Raw genomic sequence first — 12,513 nt, 5'->3', positions numbered from 1 at the left:
TTCCTTTGGCTATACAGTCCTTTGTGGTTTGGTACAAATTTTAGGATTGTTTTTCTGTGAAGAATGTCATCAGTATTTTGATAGAGATTTTAGTTGAATCTGTAGATTGCTTTGGGTAGTATGGTTATTTTAACAATATTAGTTATTCCGACCCATGAGCATGGGATGTCTTTCAATTTATTTATTTATATATTTTATTTATTTATTTATTTATTTATTTTCTTTTTTGAGATGGAGTCTCGCTCCATCGTCCCAGGCTGGAGTGCAGTGGCATGATCTTAGCTCACTGCAACGTCTGCCTCCTGGATTCAAGCAATTCTCCTGCCTCAGCCTCCTGAGTAGCTGGGATTAACAGGCATGCACAACCATGCCCGGGTAATCTTTTTGTATTTTTAGTAGAGACAGTTTCACCATGTTGGCCAGGCTGGTCTTGAACTCCTGACCTCAGGTGATCCACGCCCCCTTGGCTTCCCAAAGTGCTGGGATTGCAGGCGTGAGCCACCGCGCCCGGCATCTTCCAATTCATGTTCTCTTCCATTTCTTTCATTGGTGTTCTTTAGTTTGCCTTGCAGATATTTTCTTACTTCCTTGGTTAAATTTATTCTTAGGGGCCAGGCTTGGTGGCTCACACCTGTAATCCTAGCACTTTGGGAGGCCGAGGTGGGCGGATCACCTGAGGTCAGGAGTTAGAGACCAGCCTGGCCAACATGGTGAAACTCCATCTCTACTAAAACATACAAAAATTGGCCTGGTGCAGTGGCTCTCGCCTGTAATCTCAGCACTTTGGGAGGCCGAGGCGGGCAGATCACGAGGTCAGGAGATCAAGACCATCCTGGCCAACATGGTGAAACCCTGTCTCTACTAAAAATACAAAAAAAAAAAAAAAAAATTAGCTGGGCATCATGTGGGCGCCTGTAGTCCCAGCTACTTGGGAGGCTGAGGCAGGAGAATGGCGTGAACCCGGGAGGCGGAGCTTGCAGTGAGCCAAGATCATGCCACAGCACTCCAGCCTGGGCAAAGAGCAAGACTCCATCTCAAAATAAATAAATAAATAAATACAAAAATTAGGTCGAGCGCAGCGGTTCACGCCTGATATCCCAGCATTTTGGGAGGCCAAGGCAGGCGAATCATGAGGTAAAGAGATCAAGACCATCCTGGCCAACATGGTGAAACCCTGTCTCCAGTAAAAATACAAAAATTAGCCAGGCATGGTGGCAGGTATAATCCCAGCTACTTGGGAGACTGAGGCAGGAGAATCACTTGAACCCAGGAGGCGGAGGTTGCAGTGAGCTGAGATTGCACCATTGCACTCCAGCCTGGGCAACAATTGCAAAACTCCATCTCAAAAAAAAAAAAATATTCTTAGGGTTTGGGGCTTTTTTGGGGGGGGTTGGGGTGTAACTATGGTAAATGGGATTACCTTTTAAATTTTTTTTCTTTTTTTTGAGATGGGAGTCTTGCTATGTTGCCCAAGCTGGTCTGAACTACTGGGCTCAAGCAATCTGCCTGCCTCAGCCTCCCGAGTAGCTGGGATTACAGACGTACACCATTGTGCCATCTTGATTTCTTTTCTTGTTTGTGTCTAGAAATGCTACTTGTTTTTGAATACTGATTTTGTATCCTGCAACTTTACTAAATTCACTTATTAGTTCTGAGACTTATTGAGTAGAGTCTTTATATTTTTCTCGTTTTTTGAGACAGAGTCTTGCTCTGTTGCCCAGGCTGGAGTGTGGTGGTGTGATCTCGGCTCTCTGCAACCCCCACCTCCCAGGTTCAAGTGATTTTCCTACCTCAGCCTCCTGAGTAACTGGGATTACAGGCATGCACCACCACGCCCAGCTAATTTTTTTGTATTTTTAGTAGAGACAGGGTTTCGCGATGTTGACCAGTCTAGTCTCAAACTCCTGACCTCAAGTGATCCACCATCCTCTACCACCCAAAGTGCTGGGATTACAGGCATGAGCCACTGCGTCCGGCCTGATTTTTCTATATATAAAATCATGTCATCTGTAAACAGGGACTATTTTACTTCCTTCTTTTCAAATTGAATGTCCTTTTTTCTTTCTTTTGCCTAATTGCTCTGGCTAGGACTTCCAGTATTATGTTGTAATTCAAGAAATATTTGTTGAGAACTTATCATAAACAAAAAAATTATTCTAGGCACTAGAGGAAAAAAAAACAGACAAGAACTATGTCTTCTGCCAGGCACAGTTGCTCATGCCTGTAATCCCAGCACTTTGGAAGGTCGAGGTGGGCGGATCACCTGAGCTCAGGAGTTCGAGACCAGCCTGGCCAAAATGGCGAAACCCCCTCTCTACTAAAAATACAAAAATTAGCCGTGGTGGCATGCGCCGGTAATCCCAGCTACTGGGGAACCTGAGGCAGGAGAATCATCGAAACCCGGGAGTCGGAGGTTGCAGTGGGCCAAGATCACGCCACTATACTCCAGCCTGGGCGACAGAGCAAGGCTCTGTCTCAGAAAAAAAAAAAAAAAAAAAAAAGAACCATGTCTTCATGAAGCTTACATTTTTTGAAAAGGAGATAGAAATTTAAGAAGAAAACTAATAAATGTGATAATTTCATTCAGTGAGATATGTTGTGAAGACAATAAAACAAGATTATGTCAGAGAGGAGCTCCATAGACTGAGTGTCAGGGAAGGAGTTAAGGCTTCAGTGACTGGAAGAAGCCAACACGTGAAGACCTAGTTGTAAATCATTGGAAGGAAGGGCAAAAGCAAAGGCATCAAGACAGGAATGAGTTGACTGTATCCCTGAAGCAGCAAGGAGCCAATGTGGCTGGAGCAAAGTCAGTGCAGAGGAAAAGTATAGGAAATGAGGGCCTGGAGCTAGATCAGCCTGCACAGCACAGTAAGCAGTTTGGACTTTATTGGGTGTGAAATGTGAAGTCTTTCAAGGGTTTTAACCTGGGAAGTGCTTTGGAGAGAAGTGGGGAGTGTTATATTATATAGTTTATATTTTTTAAAGATTACATTTTCTGGTTATAGTTATCATAGTTCTAGAAACTGTATTTTAGGACAACCAAATCACCCCAGTTAATAAGAGAAAGCTCTTTTTACAAAGAATGCCAAGCTATTCAGATTAAAGAAAAATAAAGAGACATGGCAACCAAACACAATGCCTTATTCTGAATTTGGCTCTTCGTCCAAAAAAAATTCTATAAAAGATATTGTTGGGAAAATTGGCGGCAATTAAATATGGTCTCTAGGTTAGATAATATTATTATAGTAAATGTTAAATTTTCTGATTCTAAAACTGATTATGAAAGAGAACAACCTGGCCAGGCACGGTGGCTCATGCCTGTAATCCCAACACTTTGGAAAGCCGAGACGGGCAGATCACCTGAGGTCAGGAGTTCAAGACCAACCTGGCCAACATAGTGAAACCCAGTCTGTACTAAAAATACAAAAATTAGCCAGGCGTGATGGTGGGCGACTGTAATCCCAGCTACTCAGGAGGCTGAGGCAGGAGAATCACTTGAACCCCGGAGGCAGAGGTTGCAGTGAGCCGAGATCGCGCCAATACACTCTAGCTTGGGTGACAGCAAGCCTCTGTCTCAAAAATAAAATAAAAAGAAACAACAACCAGATGTCATGTGGGACCTAGATTGGGTCTTGCTTTGTTTCTGGTTTTTTTGTGTGTGTGTGGCTGCTTTGGTTGGTTGGTTTGTTTGTTTGTTTGTTTGTTTGAGACAGAGCCTTGCTCTGTCACCCAGGCTGGAGTGTAGTGACATGATCTCAACTCACTGCAACCTCTGTCTCCCAGCTTCAAGCAATTCACATGCCTCAGCCTCCAGAGTAGCTGGGACTACAGGTGTGTGCCACCACACCCTGCTAATTTTTTCTATTTTTAGTAGAGACAGGGATTCACCATGTTGGCCAAGCTGGTTTCGAACTCCTGGCCTCAAGTGATCTGCCTGCCTCAGCTTCCCAAAGTGCTGGGATTACAGGTGTGAGTCAGTGTGCCTGGCGGGTCTTGCTTTGAACAAACCAACTGGAAAGGACATTTGGGGAACAACTGGGATAACTGAAATTGAGGTTAGGTATTAGAAGAGATGAAAATGTATCAACATGGTAAAATTGAGATTAACTGGAAAAAAATCTGATTATGAAATAGCATGTACAGTATAATTTCACCTGGTAAGTATATATGTATATACATACACACATGAAGTATATATCTCACACTATACTAGAAGGATATATTAAAGCTTAATCTTTTGGAAATATAAGGATTTTATTTTCTTAATCTGCTTACCTGCTATATCTGACTTTCTATAAAACACATATAAATAATCTTAAATTTTTGAATAATTTTAAAATTTTACTTATTATTTATTTATTTATTGAGATGGAGTCACTCTGTCACCCAGGCTGGAGTGCAATGGTGCGATCTTGGCTCACTGCAACATCTGCCTCCCGGGTTCAAGAGATTCTCCTGCCTCAGCCTCCCGAGTACCTGGGATTACAGGCACGCACCACCATGCCCGGCTAATTTTTTCTTTTCTTTTCTTTTTTCTTTTTCTTTTTTTTTTTTGAGACAGAGACTCGCTCTGTCACCCAGACTGGAGTGCAGTGGTGCGATCTCGGCTCACTGCAACCTCCGCCTCCCAGGTTCAAGCCATGCTCCTGCCTCAGCCTCCCAAGTAGCTGGGACTACAGGCGTGTGCCACCATGCCCGGCTAATTTTTTGTATTTTTAGTAGAGAGAGATGGGGTTTCACCGTGTTAGCCAAGATAATCTCCATCTCCTGACCTCGTGATCCACCTGCCTTGGCCTCCCAAAGTGCTGGGATTACAGGCGTAAGGCATCTTGCCTGGCAACTTTTTCTATTTTTAGTAAAGACAGGGTTTCACCATGTTGGCCGGGCTGATCTTAACTCCTGGCCTCAAGTGATCTGCCACCCCGGCCTCCCAAAGTGCTGGGGATACAAGCGTGAGCCACCGCACCTGGCCAATTTTAAATTTTTTAATAAATAAATTGCTCTGGCTGTTCTAGATGGATTACAGGGGCAATCAAGAGTGGAAGTAGGTTGTCTAGTTGATCAGCAATATGCTTTTCAGTATCTGTTTCCCAAGTCTAGGTGGAAGCCAGATTCTTGCTGGAAATGAAGCTTCTCCTTCATGGGAATCCCACATACATGGCCAAAGAGATCTTACGTCTGGGAGCACAAACTGGGTATGTTAAAGGGCTTGATATTCTCCAGGGTATTTTGTTGTCCAACAAAGCTGGGTAGAGATTTGCACAGGTCCACGGAGCTGCTCAGCAAAGGGAGGGTCTGGAGGAGTGCTATCCAGCAGACTAAAGGCAAGGCACCAGCCCTCTTTGAAGTTATACACTGGTCCAGCCAGGGAAATCACAAGCACACACACATACCCAACATCAGTTAATGACAAGATAAGAAAGAAAATGTACTTTTAAATTTGATCTTAAAACAATTCACAACTCTTAAAAATTATGCAGAATAAGCCAGGCGTGGTGGCTCACGCCTGTAATCCCAGCACTTTGGGAGGCTGAGGCAGGTGGATCACAAGGTCAGGAGTTCGAGACCAGCCTGGCCAATATGATGAAACCTCGTCTCTACTAAAAATACAAAACTTAGCTGGGCGTGGTAGCACGTGCCTGTAGTCCCAGCTGCTCAGGAGACTGAGGAAGGAGAATTGCTTGAACCCAGGAGGCAGAGGTTGCAGTGAGCTGAGATGGCGCCACTGCACTCCAGCCTGGGCAACACAGCGAGACTCTGTCTCAAAAAATAAATACATAAACAAATAATAAATAAAATTATGCAGAATAAGTAGAGCTATAGTAATAAAAAGCAAACTTTGCAGCTTCAGGAATTAAAGTGTCTCACAAATGGAATGAAATCCCTTAGGAAAGCCTAGTGAAGAAAAATGTCAGCTATTACCCTAACTCTGGGAGGTAAGGGAGAGACAGCCAGGCGGCAGAGAGGAGCAGCCAGCAGCCCAAGGTCCGGAGAGGTGAATTAAAGGACTCCAGCCGCCTGACTAAGGGATTACATTTTCCGATTGTTGTGAAAAGAATTCCCCTTTCCTAGCTAATAAAGCCAATTTCTAAGTGAAGCTCAAAACAGCATTGTACGGGAGGCTCCGACTGAGAAGAACAAAGTAAATCCCTGGCAAGGGATTAAGACTTTCCTCTCCTCCCACCACCCTACCCTACTGCCCGCTCTCCTGGAGGCCCAGGAGCCAATCCTCTAAAGAGAATTCTATGAGGGGCAGGGGAAGTGGATGATAATGCTAAAAGACAGAGCATTGAATATTCACTCATCTGAAAATCCCCAAAGACGTTGCTTTCTAAGAAGATGGTCAGAGTAATGCATACTGGCCAACTGATTTAATGTGCCACACTGACAAACCCTTTCCTAAGAATTTATAGCCTCAACTAAAAACAGTTGTTTGGACAAACTGTCAAACTCCTGCAGGGCCCACTTGACATCCGTCTTTGTCAGGTCAGTGAGGAGAATGGCTATTACTTTGAAAAGGCTAAGGGTTTCTTGTTTCCTGCTGCTCCCGGGAGATCTACAGAGTAAGCGAAGCCTCGGCGGTTACCACTAGGCAGAACCCAATAGAAGTCCTCAGGAGAGCCGTGTTTAAATTCAGCACTTGCCCAAGGCCGGCCAATCACTTGAGGTCAGGAGTTCCAGACCAGCCTGGCCAACATGGCGAAACCTCGTCTCTACTAAAAATACAAAAAATTAGCCGAGCATGGTGGCGGGCACCTGTAATCCTAGCTACTTGGGAGGCTGAGGCAGGAGAATCGCTTGAACCCCGGAGGGGGAGGTTGCAGTGAGCCAACATTACACCACTGCACTCCAGCCTGGGCGACAGAGCAAGACTCCATCTCAAAAAATTAATTAATTAATTAATTAATTCAGCGCTTGCTATTCCGTTCCCATCTTCTTGGCTCTTGCCTGGATTTCTGCTACAGGTATCCTGGTGCTCTGCTTGGAATTCAATCCCGTGTTCCTGGCCTCATGAATGTACCCAGCCTCAGCACCAGAATAGTCCTCCTCAACACAGCTTTCACTGGGTCCACTTTGATGAGTTCAGGCAGCAGCGAGCGCGGAATGTGATGTGGTGGATCAAGCCCTGAGAACAGAGCCAAAGCTGGGGTGAAGAGAGACAGCTGACCAAGAGACAGACTGCCCGGGGCAGGACAGGAGAGCAAGACTAGAACAGAGAGTACAAGATTACCCAGAAACATGGCGGTCCCGGTAAGAAGTGGGGAAGGCATGAAAATGTGCGGAAATGGCAGCAAGGACGGTGGGAAAGAGCACAGGATTCAAAGGTATTAATAGATCTAGGCTGACATCCTGGCTCTGTCCCTTCTGAACCTCAGTTTTCTTATCTGTAAAATGACACATTAATACCTGCTGCGGTGCACACTGCGATGTGCTTCCCAGACACCTCCCAGGAATGAAGGACTCAGTCTCCCTCTGCTGAGAGTGCTGTTAGTCCTTTCTGAGGATTGGCTGAAGAAGACTGCCCCACCCAAGGTCACACCTTCTTCCTGGGGCCGCCCACAGCCAATGACTGAACAATAGGGGAGGAACAAATGCCCAGCCTTACCCCCAACGTGGGGCAGCTGCGGGAATCTCCAGCTACTGAATCCCCCCTGAGGTCGGGGAGAAGTGTTGGGGCTGCGTCAGTACCCTCTGCAGTTCGGCTTCCTGACGCTCCCTTCCAGTGTGGAAGGCAGGCGCACGGTTTGCTCTCTGAGTCCGCTTCCTGGGCAGCCCAGCTTCCCACAGCCATCTCATCCAATCATGAGGTTCCGTTAACCTTGTTTTTTGTTTTGTTTTGTTTTGTTTTTGTTTATTGTTTTTTGTTTTACTGGTTTTTTTTTTGTTTTCTTTTGAGACAAGGTCTCACTCTTACTCAGGCTGGAGTGCAGTGGCACGATCTCAGCTCACTGCAACCTCCACCTCCTGGGTTCAAGTGATTGTCATGCCTCAGCCTCCAAAGAAGCTGGAATTACAGGCATGTGCCACCACTCCTGTCAAATTTTAAATTTTTTGGTAGAGACGGTTTCACCATGTTGGTCAGGCTGGTCTGGAACTCCTGACCTCAGGTGATCCGCCCACCTCGGCCTTCCAAAGTACTGGGATTACAGGCGTGAGCCACCAAGCCTGGTCCATGATTAATAGTAAATGTGAAGCATCCGGCCACAACACGTGGTATAGGCTGAGTATCCCTAACCCGAAAATCTGAAATCCGAAATGTTCCAAAATCGAAAACTTTTTGAGAACCAACATAACACCACAAGTGGAAAATTCCACACCTGACTTCACATGACAGGTCACAGTGAAAATGCAGGTGCACAACCCAGTTTATTTAACATACCCAAGGAACAAAGGCCCTCCCAGTGCCCTTCAGCTGCACTAGGTGCAGGCTGGACACACCAAGGGCAGGTTCCCCTGGATGATGTCCCACATGGATCCAAGACCTACGGGCATTACTTATTGCAACTTTTTTGCTTATTCTCTGCTCTGTGGTATAAAAATATTGAAAGATAACCAAATTATTGAAAGAGGGAAAGTTCTTTTTTACACAAGTCCAATATTAAAAATGCTATGGAATAACAGAATTACAAAGTCATTATTTTTCAACACCTGATGACATAATGAATGTAAGCTCTGAACTTAATAGCTCCTAAAGCCATTAGATGAAAAGCTGATGAGAAACTTCATAAGGAAGGGGTCACAGCAACAACTCCTGAACTCATTTGCCCATTTTTTTTTTTTTTTGGTTCTGGAAACGGTGTCTCTGTTACCCAGGGTACAGTGAAGTGGCATGATCATGGCTCACTGCAGCTTCAAACTCCAAGGCTCAAGCAATCCTCCCACCTTGGCCTCCCAAAGAGCTGGGATTATAGGCACGAGCCACTGTGCCCGGCCAACTGCCCAGTGTTAATATCAGTAAAAGTGAGACAATCAGATGACATTATGTACACACAAGGCAAAAACAGAGTCAAAAGTAATATAAGTAGTTTATCTGGGCCAAGTTTGAAGATTGCAACCTGGAAGCATAAATTCAAATTGCCCTAAATGTATGCTCTGGTTCACAGCAATTACAAGTGAATTTTTAAAGGAAAAAAAGAAGAGGCAGTTTCTAAATTGTTTACCAAGAATTTACAGTAAAATAACATAAGCTAACCAGGCGCGGTGGCTCATGCCTGTAATCCCAGCACTTTGGGAGGCCAAGGCGGGTGGATCACGAGGTCAGGAGATCGAGACCAACCTAGCTAACACGGTGCAACCCCATCTCTACTAAAAATACAAAAAATTAGCTGGGCGTGGTGGCACACGCCTGTAGTTTCAGCTACTCGGGAGGCTGAGGCAGAAGAATGGCTTGAATCCGGGAGGTGGAAGTTGCAATGAGCCGAGATCGCACCACTGCACTCCAGCCTGGGCGACAGAGTGAGACTCCGTCTCAAAACAAACAAACAAACAAAAACAACAACAACAAAAAAAAAACAAAATATAAGCTATTCCTCGGCAGTACATTGTTTTTGTATCACAAATTCCAGGAACACGAGAATAATGGGTAAGCCACTAGTCAGGAAACTACAGGAAAGAAAAGAAAGAACAAAATAAACAATAGGCCGGGCTGGGCATGGTGACTCACACCTGTAATCCCAGCACTTTGGGAGGCCAAGGCAGGCGGATCACGAGGTCAGGAATTTGAGACCAGCCTTGCCAACGTGGCGAAACCTCGTCTCTACTAAAAATACAAAAATTAGCCGGGCGTAGTGGTGGGCGCCTGTAATCCCAGCTACTCCGGAGGCTGAAGCAGAAGAATTTCACTTGAACCCAGGAGGCAGAGGTTGCAGTGAGCTGAGATTGTGCCATTGCATTCCAGCCGGGCAACATAGCGAGACTCCATCTCGAAAAAAAAGAAAAGGAATATTGCAACTACAACTGAACAGAATTAAGAATGCCTTGAAGACAATAGAAAGTGCCAACCAGCAGACAGACAAACTGAAGGAGTTTTATGGACAAGCATTACGCCGCTTGGAACGCTATGATAAATACTTAGAGTATACAGAGATCTCGCCTGAAACTCCCAAGATGATTATGATAAGGAGACGAAAACAAACCTTTCAGCAGTTGTTACTCCTCAAAGCAATTGGGAAAAAGTGGTTCCAGAGAACTTGGGCCTCCAAGAAGGTGCACATGAGCTGTGCTACAACACTGCACATGCGCTGATTGGACAAGGCCAGCTGAACCAGGTCACGACAATCCTACGAAAAGCTGAAGATCTTTGCCGCTGTTCATGATCAGAAGACTGTGATAGGACTGAGAAAGACCCACAGGCAGGACTGGCCATCATTCATGGTCAGATGGCCTATACTCTGCAGCTTCAGGGTCGAATAGAGGAGGCTTTGCAACTTTACAATCAAATAATAAAACTGAAACCAACAGATGTGGGATTACTAGCTGTAATTGCAAACAACATCATTACCATTAACAAGGACCAAAATGTCTTTGACTCCAAGAAGAAGGTGAAATTAATCAATGCAGAAAGAGTGGAGTTTGAGCTTTCCAAGAAACAACTACAAGCTATAGAATTTAACAAAGCTTTACTTGCTACGTACACAAACCAGGCCAATTAATGCCGCAAAATATCCACCAATTTATAGTCCCAAAGTCCCGAGCATCTCCCACCTATGTTAATCCAAGCTGCTCAGGTTTGCCTGGAAAGCAGCACACAAAAACAACAGAGCTGCTTCAGGAATTTTCAGATCAACATCCAGAAAATGCAGCTGAAATTAAGCTGACCATGGCACAGTTGAAAATTTCTCAAGGTAATATTTATAAGCATGTCTAATATTGAGAAGCATAGAAGAGTTAAAGCAGAAACCAGGCATGGTGTCTGCATTCGTGATCATGTATAGCCATGAAGAAGATATTGATAGTGCCATTGAGGTCTTCACACATACTATCCAGTGGTGTCAAAACCATTGGCCCAAATCTCCTGCTCATTTGTCCTTGATAAGAGAAGCTGCGAACTTCAAACTCAAATATAGACAGAAGAAGGAGGCAATTAGTGACCTAGAACAACAATGGAAACAAAATCCAAAAGATTTTCACACCCTGACACAGCTTATTTCTGCTTACTCACTTGTAGATCCAGAGAAAGACAAAGCTCTTTGTGAACACTTGTCATTATCAGATAGCATGTCTCTAAAAGTAGATGTCAAGGCTCTTGAAAATTCTCCTGGTGCTACGTACATTTGGAAGAAGGGTGGCAAAGTTACTGGAGATAGTCAACAAAAGGAGCAAGGGTGGGGAAATTTGAAAAAGAAGAAAAAGATGGGAAAATTGCCTGAGAATTATGACCCAAAAGTTACCCCAGATCCAGAAAGATGGCTACCAATGCAAGAACATTCTTATTACTGGGGAAGAAAGAAAGGTAAAAAGGATCAGGTTGGAAAAGGGATCCAGGGAGCAACTGCAGGAGCTTCATCAGAACTGGATGCCAGAAAAACTGTGAGCAGCCCGCCCCCTCCCCAAGACCTGGCAGTGCAGCGACACTATCTGCCTCTGCAAGTAACATCATACCCCCAAGACACAGAAACCTGCAGGCGCTCCAGCAACAAAAAAGAAACAGCAACAGAAAAAGAAGAAAGGTGGAAAAGGTAGCTGGTGATGAGAATACTCTTGTTGCAGGCTGTTTTTTAAACTAGTCTCAGAAATATAATTTTAAACTAGTCTAGGAATATAATAAAGGTAACACACCAAGAAGCAAAAAAAAAAAAAAAAAAAAGAGAGAGGCCGCAGTGCGCTCTGAATGAGCCACTGCACTCCAGCCTGGGCAACAGAGAGATTCCATCTAAGAAAAAAGTTCATTTAAGTTTTATAGGAAAATCACTGAAGGTTCAAAAGACAAACTATTCACTCAAAAGGAAATGATCTCACAAGGCTTAAATGTCTTCTAATCTAACCCAATGCTGGCTGACAGACTCAAATGTGGTGTGACTGTTTTTAATTATAGGCTTGATTTCTCCCTAAAATCAGAGAAAATATGGTTGGAGTCCATAGGGGATGGAGAAAGAAGGGATAAAAGATGAGGAAGGCAAAGGCCAGATCATGGAAGGCTCTTATATCATCCCCAAATATTTGGAACAGGGGCCACAGGAAAAAAAAAACCCAAAAAATGACATGATCATTCTGACAGCCATTTTAGAAAAATGACTCTGTCAGGGCCAGGCGTGGTGGCTCACGTCTGTAATCCCAGCACTTTGGGAGGCTGAGGTGGGCGGATCACATGAGGTCAGGAGTTCAAGACCAGCCTGGCCAACATGACAAAATCCTATCTCTATTAAAAATACAAAAATTAGCTGGGCATCATGGTGGGTGCCTGTAATCCCAGCTGCTTGGGAGGCTGAGGCAGGAGAATCGCTTGAACCTGGAGGCGGAGGTTGCAGTGAGCTGAGATCACACCACTGCACTCCAGCCTGGGGCCACAGAGTG

General features: G+C 44.7%; 1 long non-coding RNA gene and 1 pseudogene across 2 annotated transcripts in view, besides 1 other annotated feature; one reads left to right on the top strand and one right to left on the bottom strand.

Moving 5' to 3' along the window:
• The window catches only part of LINC02837 (long intergenic non-protein coding RNA 2837), a 28,150-nt gene extending 20,695 nt beyond the window's left edge, over positions 1-7,455 (bottom strand). Inside the window, exons 1-2 of one of the 2 annotated variants that reach the window (NR_183517.1) lie at positions 7,408-7,455; positions 6,949-7,126 (exon numbers count right to left, since the gene is read on the bottom strand). This is a non-coding gene — a long non-coding RNA (long intergenic non-protein coding RNA 2837). Of the gene's footprint in view, positions 1-4,971; positions 7,127-7,407 lie in introns of those variants that run through there. The other variant, NR_183516.1, reaches the window with a different exon arrangement.
• Positions 6,012-6,907: an enhancer, noted in NCBI's record as "NANOG-H3K27ac hESC enhancer chr18:47026295-47027190 (GRCh37/hg19 assembly coordinates)". NCBI's record gives its function as "activates a minimal SCP1, AML or CMV promoter by ChIP-STARR-seq in naive and primed H9 embryonic stem cells {active_cell/tissue: H9 hESC(naive and primed)}" and the evidence as "EXISTENCE:reporter gene assay evidence [ECO:0000049][PMID:30033119]".
• SRP72P1 (signal recognition particle 72 pseudogene 1) lies at positions 9,935-11,792 on the top strand (annotated as a pseudogene).

The sequence above is a fragment of the Homo sapiens genome, chromosome 18 (genome assembly GCF_000001405.40).
Source record: "Homo sapiens chromosome 18, GRCh38.p14 Primary Assembly".
Taxonomy (NCBI): Eukaryota; Metazoa; Chordata; class Mammalia; order Primates; family Hominidae; genus Homo; species Homo sapiens.
This window is presented reverse-complemented; position numbering and strand designations above follow the sequence as displayed.